The 22,985-nt window shown below is 38.5% G+C and overlaps 1 protein-coding gene across 9 annotated transcripts in view, besides 4 other annotated features; it reads right to left on the bottom strand.

The window, feature by feature from the left end:
* The window catches only part of CP (ceruloplasmin), a 59,416-nt gene that overhangs the window by 18,895 nt on the left and 17,536 nt on the right, over positions 1-22,985 (bottom strand). For 8 of the 9 annotated variants that reach the window (XR_427361.4, XM_006713499.4, XM_011512435.3 and 5 more), the window contains exons 7-14: positions 20,794-20,933; positions 18,404-18,556; positions 17,059-17,270; positions 6,744-6,894; positions 5,212-5,424; positions 3,931-4,138; positions 2,158-2,297; positions 697-825 (exon numbers count right to left, since the gene is read on the bottom strand). Coding sequence is in view for 7 of the 9 variants with exons in the window: in XM_006713499.4 (XP_006713562.1) it covers positions 697-825; positions 2,158-2,297; positions 3,931-4,138; positions 5,212-5,424; positions 6,744-6,894; positions 17,059-17,270; positions 18,404-18,556; positions 20,794-20,933 (1,346 nt within the window). In the remaining 2 variants the exon portion in view is untranslated. The remainder of the gene's footprint in view (positions 1-696; positions 826-2,157; positions 2,298-3,930; positions 4,139-5,211; positions 5,425-6,743; positions 6,895-17,058; positions 17,271-18,403; positions 18,557-20,793; positions 20,934-22,985) is intronic. The other variant, NR_046371.2, reaches the window with a different exon arrangement.
* Positions 14,952-15,747: an enhancer, noted in NCBI's record as "OCT4-NANOG-H3K27ac hESC enhancer chr3:148914047-148914842 (GRCh37/hg19 assembly coordinates)". NCBI's record gives its function as "activates a minimal SCP1, AML or CMV promoter by ChIP-STARR-seq in naive and primed H9 embryonic stem cells {active_cell/tissue: H9 hESC(naive and primed)}" and the evidence as "EXISTENCE:reporter gene assay evidence [ECO:0000049][PMID:30033119]".
* Positions 15,748-16,545: an enhancer, noted in NCBI's record as "OCT4-NANOG-H3K27ac-H3K4me1 hESC enhancer chr3:148914843-148915640 (GRCh37/hg19 assembly coordinates)". NCBI's record gives its function as "activates a minimal SCP1, AML or CMV promoter by ChIP-STARR-seq in naive and primed H9 embryonic stem cells {active_cell/tissue: H9 hESC(naive and primed)}" and the evidence as "EXISTENCE:reporter gene assay evidence [ECO:0000049][PMID:30033119]".
* Positions 16,546-17,341: an enhancer, noted in NCBI's record as "OCT4-NANOG-H3K27ac-H3K4me1 hESC enhancer chr3:148915641-148916436 (GRCh37/hg19 assembly coordinates)". NCBI's record gives its function as "activates a minimal SCP1, AML or CMV promoter by ChIP-STARR-seq in primed H9 embryonic stem cells {active_cell/tissue: H9 hESC(primed)}" and the evidence as "EXISTENCE:reporter gene assay evidence [ECO:0000049][PMID:30033119]".
* Positions 17,342-18,138: an enhancer, noted in NCBI's record as "OCT4-NANOG-H3K27ac hESC enhancer chr3:148916437-148917233 (GRCh37/hg19 assembly coordinates)". NCBI's record gives its function as "activates a minimal SCP1, AML or CMV promoter by ChIP-STARR-seq in primed H9 embryonic stem cells {active_cell/tissue: H9 hESC(primed)}" and the evidence as "EXISTENCE:reporter gene assay evidence [ECO:0000049][PMID:30033119]".

Here is a 22,985-nt window from a genome sequence, read left to right on the forward strand (position 1 = left end):
CAATTCGTGCACAATTACCTGAATTTCATTACTTCTCAAACTTTAGGTGTTTTCAGCAATGCCACCTCCTCAAGGAAGCCCTCCTGACCTCTCTACCTAAAATAGCACCCTTGCTACACCCTGCTAAGTTATTGAGAAATAGTATTTTCCTGGAAGCCAACTTTACAACTAATAGAAGAAAAATATGGTTCTTATTAAAGAAAATGCTCACCTATGTATATAATCTGTTCAAGATTTTACTCTATGTTTATTAAAGAAACATTTGATGATCTCCTAATATATGCCAGATACTGTACTAGATAGGGGGAATTTAGAGTTCCAAGTGGCAGCCTCTGGCCCTTAGAACCACATGTGCTAGAGACAGGCATGGGAACATCCAGCCACATATGGTGTGGTAGATGCCATTTGAGCTGTGTTCTAGCTGAGCGAGGAGACAGCATCTCTCTGATTCACGCTTGAGGATTCATAGATGTCTACTACCTTCAGGTTTTTCTCTTAAGCTCTCCTGTGGACTTTTTTTTTTAGTACAAGCATGTGCATGTACTTGCATACACACAGACACCTCCTTGCATCCCCTCTTCACAACTACCTCCCTTTTCACTTTCTTGGTCCAGACTCTCTATGATGAGAGTAATCTGTGGAAAGGCTGTACAGCCTGTTAAAATGCACCACCCCCACCCCCGCCCCCGTGAGTACCTGGTAATGTTGGAGTAACTGTAGAACTCTCTGTTTGTACCCCATGGGCATGTATTGAGTAGGGCCTTGTGGCCATGTTTTTAAAGATAATTTTGACTTTGTCTCCAACATCTGCATGAAGTTGTGGACCTGGCAAAAGTGAAGAGGAAGAGTGTCCAATCAGAAGGTCTAACTTAGTAATAAAAGCAAAGATCAGCAAAGATAACTTGTTTCTCTCCCCCATGGGTTTGTGGTATAATACTCTTGGATTTATACTGCGTCCCAGGGAATTTGGAATCAATACACTGGAAATAAAAATGGAGACCATTTGTTTATCTCTTAAGAGTTCTAGGGGAGGTTTGGCCTGAAAGTCCTTTGCAGAGTACCGGTCTAATCATGGTGGGTTGGATATCTGGCCAGGAGTCATTTATACCCCTCTCATTTCTACCCTTTATCCAATCTTAGCTTGTCTCTTGTCTGGTAGGATTTTTGTGCTCCAGCAACAATGCCATTTTGCCTTGGTGTCTTAGTCTAGGGGTTGAGGATAACCAAGCCTCAGGGGAATGCTGACAGTATGGGAACACAGTGGGGTGGGGATGGGAGTGGGGGTCCCTGCAATTGATAGTTTTAAAGAAATGTCTCAAGACCAGTGTTGCTCGAGTTCTAGACATTCTGTCTTAAAGTGAGTCCTAAAAAATTGAAGGCAGCTTTGCCCCTGCTTTGTGCGTGGTATCATTTTTTCTTTTATTTCCTGTTGTAATTAATTTCCTTTTGTATATTTCTTCTTGTAATTAATCATTTATATTTTAATTTTAAAAGTAAATAGCTGTAATTTGAGAGGAATGGGTAGGATAATGGGGATAAATTGGTTAAGAATTTTATTAGGGCCAGGTGTAGTGCCTCACGCCTGTAATCCCAGCACTTTGGAAGGCTGAGGTGGGCGGATCACTTGAGGCCAGGAGTTTGAGACCAGCCTGGCCAACATGGTGAAACCTCATCTCTACTAAAAATACAAAAATTAGCCAGGCGTGGTGGCCCATCCCTGTAGTCCCAGCTACTTGGGAGGCTAAGGTGGGAGACTCACTTGAGCACAGGAGCGGCAGGTTGCAGTGAGCTGAAATCACACCACTACACACCATCCTGGGCGACAGAGTGAGACTCTGTCAAAAAACAGAATTTCATTAGAAAATAGTTTCTGGGAACTTCACTAAAACTACAGGCATCAATTTGATAAAATATATATAATTTCATCAGTATACGGGACAATACATAGTTTCCAAGAGAAATAAGTAATATTTTACTATGTCATATTATTTAATAAACATCAGTCTTATTTCATTAGATAACTAATTTTTAAATTTTTATTTGAACAACTTTGATATATGAACCAAGAAAATGAAACCCATAGACATGAATTGACGGTTACTGCAGGTAGCATCACATCATTAACCCACACCTGATAAACTGGAGATATTAACATACCTAGAATTCCCAGATGTTCTTCTTCAGCTTTTCTCTCCACTGGAACACGGAATGTGCTATCAGTATACTGCCGATACACAACTTTCTTGTACTTTGAGCCTATGTAAAACTCTCCCTTATCTAAAAATGCATTTGAAACACTTAAAAAAAAAAACAACTAAGGTTAGTATTTGTCTTAATGAAAATGTAACTTAAGTTTTAAACTTTAAATTTTGAATAAAAATATAGTTTTTATTAGAGTAATTATAGTAGTTTTAAATCATCACTCTTCTATCCAAGTAGGAATGCATAATAAGACTTTAAAAGTCTGTGTGGTAGAAAGCATACCTAGCCATCTGAGTGCAGCCATCTGAGTCCTGGCCTCTACCCTGCCACTAGTGAAAATTTCCTCCAGCTAGTCACTGCCTATTGGAACCTCAGTTTTTTCATCCCTCAAATGAGATATTTGAACAGATCATCTCTAAGATTACTTTATAGCTCTAAAATTTTATGAGTCCAATATTTCTGATTTATAGGAACTGAAATGGACATCTTTTCCCAGGCATTCCCTTTTCACTTACTTCTTTTTTTTTTTTTTTTTTTTTTTTTTTTGAGGAGTCTTGCTCTGTCGCCCAGGCTGGAGTGCAGTGGCGTGATCTCCGCTCACTGCAAGCTCTGCCTCCCGGGTTCACGCCATTCTCCTGCTTCAGCCTCCGAGTAGCTGGGACTACAAGCGCCCGCCACCATGCCCAGCTAATTTTTTGTATTTTTTAGTAGAGACGGGGTTTCACCATGTTAGCCAGGATGGTCTCCATCCCCTGACCTCGTGATCCGCCCGCCTCGGCCTCCCAAAGTGCTGGGATTACAGACGTGAGCCACCGCGCCCGGCCAGTTTTCACTTACTTCTAATGGCAGCTGTAGCCTTTTAACCATTTTACCCCAATTACAAAATAAAAGTTTACTCCTTTACACTGCAAACTATACTCACTACTGCTGTCAAACAGGTAACCACTGCCTAGCCACAGGTCACCAGTTGTGCTATGCACCCTGGATCTGAACACCTGCCCACCCCAATCTCTCAGATCATCTCCATGTGGTCAGCGCATGATGTAAGTGGGATGATGGAGAGGAAAGTGCTTGGAAAAGTATGAAGAAAGGGCTAACTAGAAGTGATGAGAGATGCTGCTCTAAATTAATGTTTCTGAAGCTCTAATCATCCTCTACTTATATCTATTCATACAGAATTTATTTTGTACTTTTCCATGATGGACATGTTACTGGTAATTTTGTGCCATATTTTCCTGTAAGTTCTTAGAGGATAGAGACTATATCTATCATCTTCAAGCATTTAAAATATTCCATACGTAACGGTTTTAAGGATGTGAAATGACCGATTGTTAGACTAACAATGAAAACTCTGAAGGAAAAATAAGCAACAAACAGTTGCTAAGGGGAGTAATATTTCTGCTCTGAATTTGGGCATTAACTTTTGTTAAGTTTGAATATAAATGACAACATGAGGGCACATGAATGTGAGAAGACACTCCAGTAGAAAAGAAAGCAAGACTCCAAAGGATCAAAGAAGATAAATGGAAATTTTCCCTTAAGGAAATTGAGAGAAGCGGAAATGAATAAGGACAAGTTCCTAGGAAGTGTTTTGTTGTTGTTGTTGTTGTTGTTGTTATTGTTTAATGCAACTTTTTTTTTTTTCTAAAATTTGGTGTAATTCTTACTTCTCTGAAAAGGAAACCTAAAATTACTGCTGAAATTGGGAATCAGAGTCTGGAGAATTACTTCTGCTCTTGTAAATGATGCAGCTCCTTTTCCCACTCCCTTTGTGGGGAATAATCCCATTCCACCTCCACTGCTGCGATATAGTATGTCCTCTCTCCCAGGTAGAAGGTGGAATCCTCAGACTGCCGCCTGCATTGGTTCACAGTATATTTTTGCTTCATGCCGCCTGTGTAATGATCAGTTGTAAGGCATTCAACATTAAAAGTCCCTGGAGTGGTAAATAAGAAAACATGTCACTTCTTTGCTAGTGCCCTCTGGGGCTCTCCACCTTCCTCAGAATTAATGCTGAAGTCCTTATCATGGCCTCAGGTGATCTAGCTTTCCACACCTTCTGCTCACCCTGCTCCATCCATCCTTTTGCTGTTCTTAGAGCAGATCAAGTGTGTGCCTGCCTTGGGAACTTTGCACTTGCTGTTTCCTCTGCCTTCTCCCCAAAATATCCTCATGGTTCACACCCTCATTTTATTCTCGTCTCTCCTTAAGTAGCACCTCCTGAGAGAATCTTGACCCTTTCCCCTCTCAGTCACCATCCCCTTCCTCTGCCTTATTTTTCTTTGTGTACTTATAATCACTTGACATATATGTATTAATATACTTGCTTGTTGTCTGTCTCCCTGCATTAGAATTTCAGCAGCATGAGACATCTTATCTCTTTTGTTCATTGTTGTATTTACATTTGTTGAAGGAAGGAAAGCGTGACACTGGGGTGGTCTTAAGTTTCAGTGGCATATGATAAACCAAATGAAGCCTGAAACAAGCTAGCATATTTTCACATTTTGATTAAAATTCTTTCTCTTCAGTTGTAGTTTGTTTTACTCGTTCAGAGCCAGGTCTGTAGATGTCTCTGAATTTGCATGGCTACAATGCTAGCATAGAATATTCACTTGCAACCAACAAGCCAACACTACATCTAGGCTACAGAGACATGATGAAAAGTTTAGGTGCAGAATATTTATGGGAGTCATTCCCCTTCTAGTCTGATTTTCCAGCTATCTTTAAAAGGACCATAATCTAAAAAGGGATCATCTTGAGGAGCCTATGGAAGTGGAGAAAACCACACCATGTTCTTTTACTCCACATTGTCCTCAGTAACTAGGAAACAGACCTATCTGGTACATACTTCAGCTGATAGTGGCCTAGACTTGCTCTTTCAAAGATAGGAAGGGCACTTCAGAGGCTTGGGGAAGGGATAAGTTTATCACCCAACACATTCTGCTACAGGATTTTAAACCAAAACTACACAAATCCATCCAATAGAGACTTGGCTTTAAGTAAATATACCCTCTGTGTCAGGCCACATGTGGAGCGTAAGACTTGTTTGAGGGAAGAGGTTTGCTGTGTCTCTCCGTTCTCCTCTCCACAGATATGTGTTTCCTGAAAAGTATATTCCATGTACATCGGCCTCATTTCCGGCGCTGAATAAGTACCACACGACCGAATCTCCTTTGCACATAGTGAGACCCGGCTGATTCCCATACATGAATCCATTCATGGCTGTAAAAGTTGGGAAATAACATTTTGGAAGTGGTTTAGATTCTACTACATGACAACCTCACAGACTTTCCAGGACCAACTTTGTTTTTTTAATTTTTAAAAGACCTATTCAGGCTTGCCCACGCTTTATGTGTCAGGAGTATCCTTGCAACTCCTTGTGGTTCCTGGCATTTCAGAGCAGCCGCTGGCTGAAAGGAGCAGAGCTGAATGCATAGTTCTTGTTCTATGCTAGTGTCCCTAGCAACCTGGGAATCCCACTGCTCTTCCTGGCTAAAACAATGATTCTGTTATTTCCAGTTCTTTAAGTGATTATATTTGTGAGCACCCAAATCTGCGAATTATAACAGCTTTTCCTGTGCACCATATACTGGGAGTGTGTTGCTGTTCTAGATTTAAAAAAAAAAGTCTCTAATTCATCTTGAATAACAGGAAAGGTCATATGTAGGAGGTTTTTTCTTTATCTTGTGTATTTAATTATTTTTGATGATTAATATTCTCAATGCTTCCAAATATACAAAAATGCAGAATCAAAAGAAATATTTTAAAGATTGTGGGTAGCGTGACTAGTACCTAGCTTAAAAAAAAATCAGTTTGTAACACAACTTTACATGTTTTTCTTCTATTGGCTACAATAATTTTTACTGATGTCCATTAGTGGTGTGGGCCTTTTGAATAATGAACTCACTGTCTCTGAGCTCTAACCACTTTTTAGAATTACACTAGGTATTTAAAAAAATCTGGTATTAGACTTAAATAAAAATCTCTGGGGGTATTCCAGGGCACTGGTCATTTTTTAAAAGCCCCCAGTTGATTCTAATGTGCAGTCAAGGGTTAGAATCATTGAGGGCTGAGATCATATCTTTCTGCATATTGAATAATCAAATGAGCCTGTCATTTTTGAGCCAAAATGAGAAAAGCATCTGATCCAGTAGTTTTCAAACTGTAGCGTTCATCAGAATCATCTGCAGAGTTTGTTGAAAACAGATTGCCGGGATCCATCTCCAAAGTTTCGGACTTTGTAGGTCAGGGTAGGGGTCTAAGAATTTGCATTTCTAAGTCCCTCAGTGATGCTGAGGCTGCTGATATAGGGACCACACTTTAAGGACCATTCATGTAATTGACATATCTTGAATTAAGTGAAATAATGGATAACTGACAGACACATCAAATAACCAGTGAGATTACCTTCAGGACACTATTGTAATCGTTTATTGAAAAAATAATCAATGAGCAAAGCTCTTCACATTTTGTTTAGTTAAAAGCATTACATATGCAGTACTAAAATAACTTGGTAGATTGGTGGATGATGCAGTACTTACAGTGCATTTTATTAGATTCCTGAAAGTCTTCATCTTCCTTATCCACCTGATCAGGTGCAGTTGTAAACATTCTAATATTATCTTCCAGGAGTAAACTCTCATTCTCATCAAATACTGTAGGAAACAAATAGAATTCCTTGTCTACATCTTTCTGTAAATCAAAACAAAATGAGATGGAGACAGAATGAATAAAGCAGAAGACTTCCATGTGCACAATACTATTTATGCACAAACACACCTAAAGGAAAGAATGAGAACAGAAGTTTCTGTTGCTCTTTGTAAACTAGGGTTCCTGAAATATTTCAGTTCACCACCAGAGCTTTCTTTGGTATCTGTTTAGTGGATTTGTGGTTCAATATGGTAATCTGAGTCTCTCTCTGCATCTAAAAGTTCTAACTCTACCTTCCTGCCCACATTGTGCATACCAATTGAAGCCTCCAAAAAAAAAAAAAAAAAAAAAAAAAAAAAGTTAAAATAGGAAAGAATATGGGTCTGTGCTGGAAATCAGGGAAGATTTCACATTCATGAAAACCGGAAGAATTCCTGTAAGGCAGAGCAGGATGGAAGCAGATTTGAGGAAGAAATCATCCCAGATGAAGAAATAACCTCCCAATGAATTCGAACAGAGATTCAAACAATCTCCAGCCAGCTGTTCAAACATTATCACCTCCTCCCACTTCTCCCAGTGGAAAAAACAAAAAAAAAGGAGCAGAAGTGCATCTGGTCTATGAAATGATTCAGTAGTTCAGAAGAAGGCAGTCAAAGGAATCAAAGCAAATGAGCCCCTGAGAATAAGTGACTCTTAAAGGAGAGAATACTTTAGAGATTATTGCCTGTCTTTCCCTTAAGATCAGTCCTTCAGATACATGATAAGGTGATTATCAAATTGAAAAAAATCAAACTAAAGCAAAGACCTGAAGGTTAGATCCTTCAGAGAACTGAAACTATGATGAAGGGGATCTAAAGAAAGCTCCCATAAATCAGAGGAGAGCATTTGAAGGTGAAAAATATACACATTGTAATAATTTTAGAAAGAAGTTATAAAAGGAAGAGGCACAATCATAAGAAATACTAGTGGAAGTGTTTGCCACCACAAAGGGAAAAGACTAGAGGATTCAGATTCAAAAGCTTCCTGAAAACAAGACAAAATTACAAAATTAGTAATGGAGATCTGTACTAAAAATGTCCTGGTAAATGTTCCATTTAAAAATGTTATGAAAGGCCAGGCGTGGTAGCTCACGCCTGTAATCCCAGCACTTTGGGAGGCCAAGGCATGTGGATCACGAGGTCAGGAGATCGAGACCATCCTGGCTAACATGTGAAACCCCGTCTCTACTAAAAATACAAAAAAAATTAGCCGGGTGTGATGGCGGGCTCCTGTAGTCCCAGCTACTTGGGAGGCTGAGGCAGGAGAATGGCGTGAACCCAGGAGGTGGAGCTTGCAGTGAGCCAAGATCGAGCCACTGCACTCCAGCCTGGGTAACAGAGCGAGACTCTATCTCAAAAAAAAAAAAAAAAAGTTATGAAACGAAAAAATCAGGTTGACATTAAAATTATCAAGTATAATAAATGCCAGAAGAAGATGAAGTAGCATTTATCTTTTTGAGAAGAAAATATTATGATACAAAAATGTAACACCAGGTAAAGAACAACAAAAGTCATTTTCAGATGTATAAGGATTCCAACAGGGACTGGTACAATCACCTGTATACTGATCGACAGAGAAAACGTCAATGAAATATTTTCAGGTCATGTTTTCTGATCATAATGCAATAAAATTAAAAATTACTAGTCAAGGACAAAAAGTAAAAAAAGAATGTCATTTTTGATCCAAATAACTTAGATCGAAGAGAAAATAAAAATGAAATACTGAGATTTGGTAAGTAATGTCTGTGAGCATGCTGTAAAGAAAAATGTATAGAATGTAACTACACATATAAACTAAGAATCTGAAAAGCTTTTTATCTTAAGACTAAATAAAAATAAATCTAAATATCTGAAAAAATTTTAAAATTAGTTACAGAGAAAAATTAACAAAGACAAAAGCATAAATTAAGAAATTTAACACAGGTAAAATGATTAAATCCAAAAATATATTATGTGAAAAGACCAGAGAAATATAAATCTCTGGCAAGTCTAATAAAAAAGGTGGAGAGAACCAAAAAAATACCACATTAGAAATGAGAAAGGAATATAACCACATATATAGGGGAGAAAAATGTAAATCATTATATGCAATTAATGTGATCTACTGACTTAGAAAGAAGTGCCTGACTGGACTAGTACTCATGGATGAAATAAAATAGTGATTAAAAACATAAACAGGCTGGGTGCGGTGGCTCACACTTGTAATCCCAGCACTTTGGGAGACCGAGGCAGGCAGATCACTTGAGGCCAGAAGGTTGCAACCAGCCTGGCCAACATGGTGAAACCCCATCTCTACTAAAAATACAAAAATTAGCCAGGTGTGGTGGCAGGCGCCTGTAGTCCCAGCTACTCAGGAGGCTGAGGCACAAGAATCACTTGAACCCAGCAGGTGGAGGTTGCAGTGAGCTGAGATCACACCACTGCACTCCAGCCTGGGCGACAGAGGAAGACTCTGTCTAAAAAAAAAAAAAAAAAAAAAAGGAGGGGGGGAACCCCATAAACAACAAAACTACTCCTTTTTAAAAGTCAAAATAATTTTTAAGGCAGTTTCTTTCAACTCTCTAGGGAGCAGATGGTTCCCAAATATTTAAACTATTCCTAGTTTATTTAATAAAGATAGTATAACCATGGATATTAATATCTGAAAAAGCAAGCAAAAGCTAAACTAATTTCATTTATAAGCTTAAATGAGAAATTCTAAATCAAACACAGTCAAATTCAGCCCACCAATATATTAAAGAAAAATTCACCATACTTAAGTGTTGTTCTCCCCCAGAGTGCAAGGATAGTTTAACATTAGAAAGTCTTTAATGTAGCTGGTCATATTTATTTGTAGTTGATCACATTACAGGAGAAAGACTATATAATGATTTCAAGAAAATCTAAAAAGAAATTTTTGTAAAATATGACATTCTGGCATTAGCTCTTCCCTTTGCTTTCCTCTCAGATCTTTGCAAGGCTGCCTTTTTGAAATTTAGGTATCACATTAAATATTATCTCCACATTATCTGAACTAGAATTTCTGTTCACTATCTCATTACGCTATTTTTTTTTTTTTTTTTTTTGCAGAACTGCTCACTTTCTGAAGTTATCTATTTCATTTTCTTTTGTTTGCTTATCTTCATCTCCTTTCCTCCCATTCCCCTCCTTCCTCCCATATACACTAGAATAAAAACCTATCAGAGCAGGAAACTTATTTGTCTTATTTACCAGTGAATTCTGTGCCTAGCACAGGATGTTTTTGGAGCAGCTCAAGTGATTTGTTTTAAAAACACTCAGTGTAAAAGTAGAATAAAGCACAACCACTAGCCAATTCATACTTAGTGGTAAAATAAACAGAGATGTTCTCATTAAGATCAGACACAAACAAGGCTACTGGCTATTCCACTATTGTTTAATATTATTTTTAATATTCTACCCATCATAATAAGGCAAGAAAATAGAATAAATTTGCTGGCGATGAGAATTAGCATTATTTATAGATAATATAGAACCTATATGAATCAGTTGGAAATTATTTGAACTAAGAAATGAATATTTAAGATGTCCAGCTCCAAAATAAATGTTAAGCAATTAACAGCTGTTTCTATAATGACAATATGCAATTAAAAAATACCGTGTTATGCATAATATTAAGAAAAACAGGAATTCAATGAGAAACATGCAGGACGAATATGAAAAAGACTATAAGAATTTACTGAATAATTAAAAAGACAACTTGAATTAAAGGGCTCCTGAGTGAAAGACTAACTATAGCTAAGAGATGAATTCTCTCCAACTAAAGCTATTCATTTAATGTAATAATAATAAAAACTACCAATGGCAGTTTTTTAGTTTAACAAAATTATATTAAAATTGATCTAGAATAATGTATATGTGAGGGTATCTAAGAATAAAAAGGGAAAATAATTCTTTTCAGTAATGGATGAACATGTTCTGACATGTATTTAAAACTTTACAAGCTGCAATAATAAAAACAATGTGGTACAGGTACTGGCACAGATAGGTCACACGGTAAACTAGGAAACCTAGAAAAATGATCCAGATATATTTAAGATTTACAATATGTTAAAGGTGACACTTCAAATCAGTGAGTAAAGAATAGATTTGTTAATATATAATGCTCAGATAATCTAATAGTTGTTTAGAAAAGATAAAACTTAGAGCCTTAGAGCCCTACTCACCAAACTGAAAATGTGTTACAAGTAGCATTTTTAAGATACTGACTAAACTGTAGATGAATATTTACTTACCTATAGAATAGAAAATAATTTTCTAAGTATGATACAAAAGGCAAAAAAAAAAGAATTGATAATTTGGCTATGTAACACTGAAAACAGCTATATTGTCACAGGCAAACAAACAAAAAAGTAAAAACACTCAACTGTAAGCAATAATGGAATATGAAAAAACACACACAAAAAAGAAAAAGACCTGCATTATACATAACAAAGATAATATGTATGTAGTATACACACACACACATATATATATTATATGGCTTAATATATAGATATTTTATGGATTAATAATTGAAAATGAATATCTGCCGTCACCAAGAAATTGACTGAAGAAGTACAAATGGTCAATAAACATTATTAATTAAACTATAAATTTAAATGAGAATGAGGTGCAGTAATTGACCTATGCCGTTTGTAAAAATTTAAAACTAAGTATTAGTAAAACGGCAGAGAACAGCCTCTCTCCTACACTTTACGCAGTGATTTTCAAACTTTTCTATTGCAACCACATAAGAAGTACATTTCATGTTGTGATCCTGTATACACACACACACACACACACACACGCATACACTCCAGAAAAGAAATTTCTTTAACCCTTACTTGTCCTTACTGTATGTGGTATACTCTGACATTGTCTCTTCTTTCCCACTTGATACTTCAAAAAATTCTAGTCGCTAGTTACAACCGACTAAATGGGTCATGATCTACAGTTTGAAAAATACTACTTTATGAAGAGCAGTTTGACAAGCACATAAGTTGTGCCTGGCCTGTGACCTAGAAATTTAAGTCCCAAGATTTGTTCCCATGAAGTAAAAATGGGCATATCCTACTGTTTAGTTAAAACAAAAAATAGTATGTCAAATACACCCAGTTCATAATTGTAAAAAATTGCAAACCATCTAAATGTTTGACAGTAGGGAACTGACTGAATAAATTATGGTGCATTCAGATCATGAAATACTTTGCAGTCATTCAGAATAAGGCTGAAGTTTTTTTAATGATATAGAAGGATAATCATAATATGTTTAAGTGTATAAAGCAAATTGCAAACAATATATGCAATTGTGATCCCTTTTTTGTGTTGAGACTATTTTCTTCTTTTACCTCCATATATTTTCATAATTTTCACAGTGTTCATGAAATATTTTCATATTAAAATGATATTTTTTTAAAAAGAATAGTTATAAAGGTCAGGAACTTGCTTTAGAAATTGATTGACTTCACATTGTGTTGTATGCATTTAGACAAGATAACCATTCCTTGTCAGCTTAATACATTTTAGCTTACCCAGGGCTTTAACCTATATTCATTCCATTTGTTTCTTTCAAAAAGAAAGAATGCAACCCATCAAGATGCGTCAGTAGGGCAGGTATCATCTCCATTTTACTGATGATTCAGATGGGCATGAGAAATATTAAATAACTAATCTGTAGCCACATGGCTAGTAACTGAGAAAGCCAGGATGAGGACTTCTGATGCCTCTGTAGGCCTTCCTGTGTTGTGATTTCTTCATTTGCAAAATGAAGATAATGAAATATGCAGAAGGTAAATCTCATTTTAAATCTCAACTCATTGAGCATCAGTTCTTTGTCCACAAAATGGGCATAAAAATACATAGCCTCTCGTGTTGTTGCAAAGGTCAAATAAGGTAACATGTCTGACAGTACCTGGAGAGAGTTTAATAAACATTAGTCTTGTTTTATTCCTTCCAAAGTAAGCACAAGATCAAGAATAGGAATCTAAAAGTAGAAAACCTTTTTTTTTTCAATTACATATTTAAAATTTTTTATTTTTTATTTTTTATTTTTTTTTTTGAGACAGAGTCTGGCTTTGTCCCCCAGGTTAGAGTGCAGTGATGCAATCTCTGCTCACACCAACCTCCGCCTCCCGGGTTCAAGCAATTCTTGTGCCTCAGCCTCCTGAGTAGCTGGGATTACAGACATGCACCAGCACACCTGGCTAATTTTTGTAATTTTAGTAGAGACGGGGTTTCACCATGTTGGCCAGTCTGGTCTGAAACTCTTGACCTCAAGTGATCCACTGACCTCAGCCTCTTAAAGTGCTGGGATTACAGGTATGAACCACCACACCCAGCCACATACTTAAAATGTTAAGTGATGGTATTACCATTTACAAAGGCCAAATAAAAATAAAACATCTCAGCGTAATCTTAAAAAAAAATCCAAGATCCATATAAGAGGAACTATAAAATACTCTTGAAAAACACAAAAGTAGACTTGAACAAATGGAAAGACATACGTTCTTATGTAGGATGACTCAACTTCGTGATTATGTCTGTACTCCCTACTTTAACTTATACATTTGAAACAATCCCAATAAAACACTATCAAGCCTTTTTTCTGGATCTAGATAAGTTTTTCTAAGGTTCAGTAGAAAGAATAAGGAAGCAAAAATAGCCATTAAAATGATGGAAAAGAAGAGAAATGAGACATAGCTATAGCCATGAAACATATTAAAGGGCTCTCCTAATAAAGCAGTATGGTATTGGTGCAAGAATAAAGACCAGCAGAACAGCATAGAAAATCTAGAAATAGACTCACTTATATATAAATATTTTAGTAGATGATAAAGGCAGCATTTCAATCAATGCAGCAAAGTTTAGCTTTTTTGTGGGTAACTAGATAGCCATACAGAAAAAAGATAAATATGATCCGCTCCTCGACTGTATCATTTATTTCCTATCAGATTTGTGAAAATCCCCAAATTTGACAATATAGTTTGTAATAACGCTGTGGAAACACAGATGATCTCATGTATACCTTCTGGAAATACAAACTGGCACAACTACAGAGGGGGATTTGGCAATATTTCACAAAACTGTATAAGCATTTAGCTTTTGTCCCAACAATACAATTTCTAGGAATTTATCACAAAGGTATGCTGGCAAAATACAAAGAGACATGAACAAGGCTAACAAAGCTGTACATTGTTTTGTATTTGTGAAGGCAAAGACTAGAAACAACCCAAACACTTGTCAAATAAGGGACTGATTGTATAAACTGTAGCATGTCCACACATCAGAGTAATATATACTATGCAAAGAAATGAGGAATGAGCAATATTTCCAAACAATACTATGAAGAGATGTTCAGATTCTATTGTGAAGTGAAAAAAGCAAAGATATGAATACACACACGTTTGTTTATTTAAAAATGGAAGAATAGGCAGAGGCAGGCGGATCACGAGGTTAGGAGATCAAGACCATCCTGGCTAACACGGTGAAACCCGTCTCTACTAAAAATACAAAACAAAATTAGCTGGGCGTGGTGGCGGGCGCCTGTAGTCCCAGCTACTCAGGAGGCTGAGGCAGAAGAATGGTGTGAACCCAGGAGGTGGGGCTTGCAGTGAGCTGAGATCATGCCACTGCACTCCAGCCTGGTTGACAGAGCGAGACACCGTCTCAAAAAAAAAAAAAAAGAATAAACTATAAAGCCAAAAAAAAAGGTAACTATGTGAGGTATGAGTATTTTACATAAAATAATATTACAGTTTTAAAAGCAATTTCTGAAACAGAGAAGTACAATGAATTAACCCGTATATCCAGTGGTGGCAAAACTATGTGGAGAAGAACTATTCCAAGTGATTTTAGATATGTAATTTGTCTAAAAATCTCTAGTGGGATCTACCCTAATGACAAAAAGAGTGGCAAACAAATCTTAAACTGTTTTCAGTAATCATATTGTTGATTGTAGTGTTGTAATTGTGATTCTGAGACTGTTGTATGTATATTGTGGGATGAATCAAATGAATATGTTGGTGTCGTGGAAAAAATAAGATTTTTCAGTGCAGTTTAAGGCAGATACAAATATAAGATTGATGCAGTTAATAACAAACCAAAAAATCTGTAGACTCAAATTTGAATAGAAAGTATAAGTATGAAATCATGATGAATTTATCTGAAAAGTTTTTTCCCATTTTCTTCCACTGAAAAGGCCCAGAAACAATTGTTTGCCCAATAGCAACAAGCAACTCTAGTGCCCACATTGTGGTTCCAAATCCTCACCAAAAAAAACAAAAAACAAAAAACAGGCTTTTGGGAACAAATGGTTAGTTTCAGTTCTGGCTCCGAAAATGTGCAAAATGAGCCTGGTGTCTCGTTATACTAGAAAGCAAAGAATCTTCAAAGACTACTATGATGTAAAAATAAAGGAGTCAACCTGAACAAGTCCTTCAGTGTCAAAAAGGATACTTTGAACATCAGTAGGAATAATGGCAGTGAATTGTAACACACCACATATGCTTAAATCCACGAGTGCACAATGCTACTTAAAAGTAAAAAAAAATTGAGAAGCCTTTGATTAATTTGAAACTTATAAATATAGGGAATGAATCAAGTATTTGTCATTGTCAGGCCTCTGAGCCCAAGCCAAGCCATCGCATCCCCTGTGACTTGCACGTATACGCCCAGATGGCCTGAAGTAACTGAAGAATCACAAAAGAAGTGAATATGCCCTGCCCCACCTTAACTGATGACATTCCACCACAAAAGAAATGTAAATGGCCGGTCTTTGCCTTAACTGATGACATTACCTTGTGAAAGTCCTTCTCCTGGCTCATCCTGGCTCAAAAAGCACCCCCACTGAGCACCTTGCGACCCCCACTCCTGCCTGCCAGAGAACAAACCCCCTTTGACTGTAATTTTCCTTTACCTACCCAAATCCTATAAAACGGCCCCACACTTATCTCCCTTCGCTGACTCTCTTTTCGGACTCAGCCCGCCTGCACCCGGGTGAAATAAACAGCCATGTTGCTCACACAAAGCCTGTTTGGTGGTCTCTTCACATGGACGCGCATGAAAGTCATACTCTTTCTATATACTGTGTACCTCAGGGTAACCAAATAATTCATTAAGAAGTTCCTGTTTATAGAGAAGTATGCCAGCTAATAAAGAAAGGAAGATGGAATTAGAATATTACTATTATGCAACACTGATTAGTTTATGAATCTAGGAAACCATCATCAGTAGCTGATAACATCCCCAGTTAAGGGACAACTATAAATTATGTACTCCCTGACAGAAGTGCCCAGTACCACATTTGAAGCAGTCTTGAAAAAAAAAAAATCTGAATTAGATCAAACTTTTAGATGTAACTACTAGTTATAGGAAATAAAAGCAGAGAGAAAGAAACATGTTTTAGCGATCCCCAACATTTTTGGCACCAGGGACCGGTTTCACGGAAGACATTTTTTCTACAAAAACTTGGGAAAGGGGGGTGGTTTCTGGATGAAACTATTCTACCTCAGATCATCAGGCATAAATTCTGATAAGGAACGTGCAACCTAGACCCCTCACATGCACAGTTCACAATAGGATTTGCGCTCGTATGAGAATCTGTTGCCGCCACTGATCTGACAGGAGGCAGAGCTCAGGAGATAATGCTTGCTTGCCTGCTGCTCACTTCCTGCTGTGCAGCCCAGTTCCTGACAGACCACCTAACAGGCTCACCTCCTGCTGTGTGGCCCATGGGGGTGTGTGTGGGGGATGTTGGGGACCCCTGTGTTAAATGATACCATACGATAAAAAGTAAAATCAAGACATGGGAAATTTCTACAGGACCAATGACTCTTGCAACAGAAAAATTGCAAGTAAACAATCTTAGGAAACATATAAATTGATTGTAATATGTGTAATTGTTTGGATACTGATCCAAACAACAGACCTAAAAAGTCAGTTGGGGAAATGTGAACATTGATTGGCTATTTGATAACTTTAAAGAGTTATGATGTGTGTTATTATTATTTTAAGGTGTGATAATTGTGGGCATTTTTAAAGAAGTCCTTATCTTTTAAAGGTATATACTAAAGTATTTTTGGAGATAATGATGAGGTTAGATATTTCTATTTCTGTCAAATGATCATTTTCAAAGAGATTGAACAATTTTTTTTTCCCCAGTTGGACTTACCTGTCTCCCATTTGCATGTAAACTTCCTTTCTTGCATATTTTCATTGGCCCAATAAGCCCAGTGAATATATCTTTAGTGGGTTCCACAGCAGAATAATACATCTTAGCTAGACACACAGGATCTGCATTAGTGGGTCCTACTTCTTTGGGGACAGTCCATTCATAGGTGAATGTTTCTGTGGGTGCCACATGGGAGGCTGAAGGAGGCACACCTGTGAGAAAGGTCACATTAGAGAGGTGAAGTGTGCTTTCTAACGTGGTCATTTGAGCCACAAAGTAGACTAAGTTTAGTCTAGAATAGCCCACTTCTGAGTTCTTTGTTATAAATTAGAATGGAATCCCACTTATGCTCTGGTGTCAGATAACAGACCGATGTGATTGCATCCAGATAGACTCTTCTAAACCTCCTCCTGGGAGTGGTGCCCCTCTTTGTGCTCACACATCTTCCGGGAATGTCCCTAGCACCTTTCATGTTGTATTGCGTGTATTTCTCTCGAACAGAGCTTAACTTTCTTGAAGGCAAGCACTGTCTCTACATTTCTATCAGCTAGAACAATGCCGGCAATACAGTGAAATCGATGCATTTTCTATTGAATAAAATGGAACTGAAAATTACATTCCATTCCATAATTGTAGAACTGAAAGAACTTTGCAGGTGATCCTATTTAAATCTTTCAAATTTACATTTGAATAACCTGTTCACAGTCACACTGCAAGTGGTAGCAAAGTCACTAGTCTTCACTGGTCCTTCTTGATGTGTAAAAATAGTCAAAAAATCCACATAATGAAATATTTTATATCATTAAAATTATGTTTATAAAACCCTTGTAATGCTAAGAGAACAAACTCCGATTATGAAATTAAAATAACATTTATTTGCTATGATCTCAACCGTATTTAAAATATATATTATATGTATACAGATGAAAATGGAAGAATTATATAAAAATATAAGAGCGATTGCTTATAGAACTATGGATAATTAGTATTTTTTGCTACCTTTCTATATTTTTCAAATATTCTAAAGTGAACATCGAACATTCTTATAAGAACTTTTTTAAAAATTAAAAATCACCCAAGGTACTCCAGAAATGTATAATTGATACAACCCAACTAAATTACTATCAGGATTGTCAATAATCATCCAATTAAGGCAGGACAAAATTCCGTAAACCAATTGGAGGTAGGAGAAGGGGTTTATTTGTTTCCTGGCATGATGCCTAGAAATGATATATGAGCGGTTTCCTTGGGAGTTCCTGCCTTCAGTTTTTGCAGCATACTGTCAGTGACCAGTACAGTGGGTTATTAAACATTGTTGATTTGTTACACAGTGCTGTATACTCACTTCTGCTCTGGGGGTTGTAATTTGGGGAATAGTATGTGCCCTCGTTGTTCTTATTGAATCTCACCCCAATCGGCTCAATACTGAGGGGATATGCTCCTTTGTTATGGAAGGTTACTCTGATGGTGTCTCCCACCTCTGCCCAAATGACAGGACCTGGGAACAAAGAGAGAATTATTATCCTTCCTTGGTATGTAACATGCAGAATGTATAAGATAGTTATCTTCTTTGACTGTGTTCTCTGGCAAGAACTACTAGGAGCAACACGCTTATTTGTGGTGAATGGAAAGCTTGGTTTTTGAGAAGTCCATAATCAATCTGATATGTCGAGGTTGGAAGGAGAGAAGGGCTTTTTAATTCAACTTCAGATTAATGAAATTGATTATCATTTTTGTACAAGTCAGTTAGTAAGCTTTACACATCTACAAAAACTATTCAGAATGTTGAGACTCCTCAGCCTAATCTTCTGTTGGCTGGAGGTGTGTCATTTGTCCCAAGAGTTAGGTGCTATAAACTCTGACCACCCAAAGCAGATAAGTTGAATTGTTTTGGATGTGAAGGATAACACTGTTTTGGATTTTCCATGACCAAAATTAATGATTACCAATTATAGAATAAAAATATATATTTTACATAAATATTTTATGTAATATACAAAATGACATTTATAGAGAGTTTCCTATCTGTTCTTCTGAGTGTATGTCTATTAACTGATTTAATCCCTATACCAACTTTAATAACTATTGTTCCCATTTTACAGAAGGGAGCAGGGACAGACAGTGAGTATTTTCTTTTTTTCTTTTTCTTTTTTTGAGATGGAGTCTCATTCTGTTGCCTAGGCTGGAGTGCAGTGGCATGATCTTGGCTAACTGCAACCTCTGCCTCCCAGGTTCAAGTGATTCTTCTGTCGCAGCCTCCCAGTAGCTGGGATTACAGGCACTCGCCACCACGCCATTCTCATTTTTGTACTTTTTTTTTTTTTAGTAGAGATGGGGTTTCGCCATGTTGACCAGGCTAGTCTCGAACTCCTGACCTAAGTGATCTGCCTGCCTCGGCCTCCCAAAATGCTGGGAATACAGGCATGAGCCACCGCGCCCAGCCAAGTTGAGTAACTTTCAAAGGTCACACAGCTAATGTATGCACTGTGTACTCACAAAAAAACAGCTTTTTATAAGGGCCTCCAATTCTTGTAATACCTTGTTCAAAAAGTATTATACCTCTGAGTCACCGCTAGGAAAAAAAAAAGTGAAGAACCAGGACAATCTGAATCCATACTCTGTTTGCTCACCCACTGTTATTCTGCCTGCGTGCCTTGGCGAGAACAGGTCTCTGGACTCTGGCTGGGGGCAGCCTGCGGAGGGCTCTAGGACAGATCCTGCTTGTTTCATTAGTAGCCTGGGATTGATTGATTGATTGATTGATTGATTGATTTTGAGACGGAGTCTCGCTCTGTCACCCAGGCTGGAGTGCAGTGGCAAGATCTCAGCTCACTGTAAGCTCCGCCTCCCGAGTTCACGCCATTCTCCTGCCTCAGCCTCCAGAGTAACTAGGACAGGCACCCGCCACCACGCCCGGCTAATTTTTTTTGTATTTTTAGTAGAGACTGGTTTCACCGTGTTAGCCAGGATGGTCTCGATCTCCTGACCTCGTGATCCGCCCGCCTCGGCCTCCCAAAGTGCTGAGATTACAGGCGTGAGCCACCACGCCTGGCCCTAGCCTGGGTTTTATTTCTAAGGGAACACATCTTTAACTAAGTGCAGAGGCTCACAACTTAGTTATCTATTTAAACCAAGTCACATAAACACACAACACACAATTCCCCTTACCTCTTTGAAGAAAAAAATAACCATTTGAAGTCAGGTCAGCATGGGTTTTTGTTTGTTTGTTTGTTTTGTTTTTTGAGATGTAGTCTCGCTCTGTCTCCCAGGCTGGAGTGCAGTGGCACGATCTTGACTCACTGCAACCTCCGCCTCCCGGGTTCAAGCGATTCTCATGCCTCAGCATCGAGGCACAAGAAACTGGGATTACAGGTACGTGCCACCACGCCCTGCTAATTTTTGTATTTTTAGTAAAGATGGGGTTTCACCATGTTGTCCAAGCTGGTCTCAAACTCCTTACCCAAGTGATCTGCCCGCCTCAGCCTCCCAAAGTGCTGAGATTACAGGGGTGAGCTACCACTCCCGGCCGTCAGCAGGGCTTTTAATGATGAAAATTTACCATTGGTAATTTACATTTGGAAAAGTACTTAGCTGCTGCATTTTATTGTTTTATCTTCCACACGCCTACTTAACACATAGAAATCATGCAGTAGGTCCTGAAGTTACTATTCTTTCTGAGGTTGATGTAGCCCATGGGAAGAGTAAACCAGCCATATATATTCTGCAAGAACTCACCCAGGATGCCAAGATGCTCTTCTTCAGGGCCTCTCTCCTTTCGATTTGTGAAGGAGGCATCTGTGTACTCACGATAAACCAGCTTTTTATAAGAGCCTCCAATTCTTGTGGTACCTTGTTCAAAAAACACCGCTGAGTCACTGCAGGGGGAAAAAAGTGTTTAATGCTGGGGTTGAAGTAGAACAGAAAGCAGGTATTCACTTAAGGTGCTAATTGAAGAGAAAAATTCTGACCAGTGCTTAGAGATGAATATTATCCATGATTTATAGCAATCCGTACCAGTTACTCAAACAAAGCAGACAGTTCCAGTCCACTCATAGAAGGATGGTCAGTTAAGAAGTAGAGAATCATGGAGGATGTTTATTTTTTCAAGTGAAGAGAAAATTTTCAGAAGGGCCCCTTCAACCCCTTGACAAAGGATTCTACCATAGAATCTTTTTATCAAATTGTGAAATGTTTAAAAACACAGTGGCTAGTTTTTTGTTGTTGTTGTTGTTGTTTGTCTTTTTTTTTTTTTTTTTTTTTGACATGGAGTCTCGCTCTGTCACCCAGGCTGGAGTGCAGTGGCACATATCAGCTCACTGCAAGCTTTGCCTCCTGGGTTCACGCCATTCTCCTGCCTCAGCCTCCCGAGTAGCTGGGACTACAGGCGCCTGCCACCATGCCTGGCTAATTTTTTGTATTTCTTTAGTAGAGACAGGGTTTCAACATGTTAGCCAGGATGGTCTCGATCTCCTGACCTCATGATCTGCCCGCCTCGGCCTCCCAAAGTGCTGGGATTACAGGCATGAGCCACCATGCCTGGCCTTTTTTTTTTTTTTTTCAGGTGGAGTCTCACTCTGTTGCCCAGGCTGGAGTGCAGTGGTGCCATCTCAGCTCACTGCAACCTCCACCTCTCAGGTTCAAGCAATTCTCCTGCCTCAGCCTCCCGAGTAGCTGGGACTACAGGCGCCCGCCACAACGCCCGGCTAATTTTTTGTATTTTTAGTAGAGACGGGGTTTCACCGTGTTAGCCAGGATGGTCTCGATCTCCTGACCTCAGTGATCCGCCCGTCTCGGCTTTGCAAAGTACTGAGATTACAGGCGTAAGCCACTGCGCCCGGCCCCAGTGGCTACTCTTTATTGTGTATTAGCACTGGCCAGCTGCTCGGGAGCTTTTATTTATTTATTTTTTGTTTTTGGAGCAGAGTCTCGCTCTCTTGCCCAAGCTGGAGTGCCGTGGTGTGATCTTGGCTCACTGCAAACTCTGCCTCTCTGGTTCAAGTGATTCTCATACCTCAGCCTCCTGAATAACTGGGATTACAGGCATATGCCACCATGCTCAGCTAATTTTTTGGTTTTTAATAGAGACGGGGCTTTGGTATGTTGGCCAGGCTGGTCTCGCACTCCTGGCCTCAAGTGATCCACCCGCTTTGGCCTCCCAAAGTGCTGGGATTACAGGCATGAGCCACGGCGCTTGGCCAGGAGCTTTTGTTTATTAGCTGAAACTCACATGACATCGCAACAAAGTTGGTATTATTCTCCCTATTTTGCAAACGAAGAAATTAAATTTCAGAAAGGTAATTATTTGACTTGCGCAAAGCCACCTCATTCATCATTTCTTTCACTTGACAAATGCATCAAACACCTGCTCTTTGCTGGGAATCCTGCTATGTGTTGATGACTTAACCATAAGCAAGGTGGACTCTTCCTTGTCCACGTGGACCTTACATCTGGCAGAGAAGACAGGCCATGAACCCATCAATATAATACAGTGTAATAAGCACAGGGTATTATGGAGCATTTCTTTGAGGTTGGGGAAAGTGCAGTGAAGAGGCCACAAAGACATTCCAGAGGAAGTGATTACTCAAAACTACCTAAAGGGGAAGTAGAGTTAGCAAGATGAAGTGTGTGTGTAGCGCAGAGACTAGGGCAGGTGTATACAAAGAGGAAACTGCTTATGAGCAGGCTTAGAGAAAAGAGCGAGCATGCCATGTTCTAGAAAATATGGCAGAAGCATAGCATGCAAGACAGGGCAGAGGAGTGAAGAATGAGGCTTAGATAGATGGGAGATAAGCAGTAGGACCTAGTTAAGGTTTCAGCCTTCCATCCCAGGGCAGTGAGAAGCATTTGAAAGATTTAAGCATTCAGGATTAGCATTTTAGGAGGATCCCTCTGGCAGATGTTTGGAGAATGTGTTGGAAAATACAAGA

The sequence above is a fragment of the Homo sapiens genome, chromosome 3 (assembly GCF_000001405.40).
Source record: "Homo sapiens chromosome 3, GRCh38.p14 Primary Assembly".
Taxonomy (NCBI): domain Eukaryota; kingdom Metazoa; phylum Chordata; class Mammalia; order Primates; family Hominidae; genus Homo; species Homo sapiens.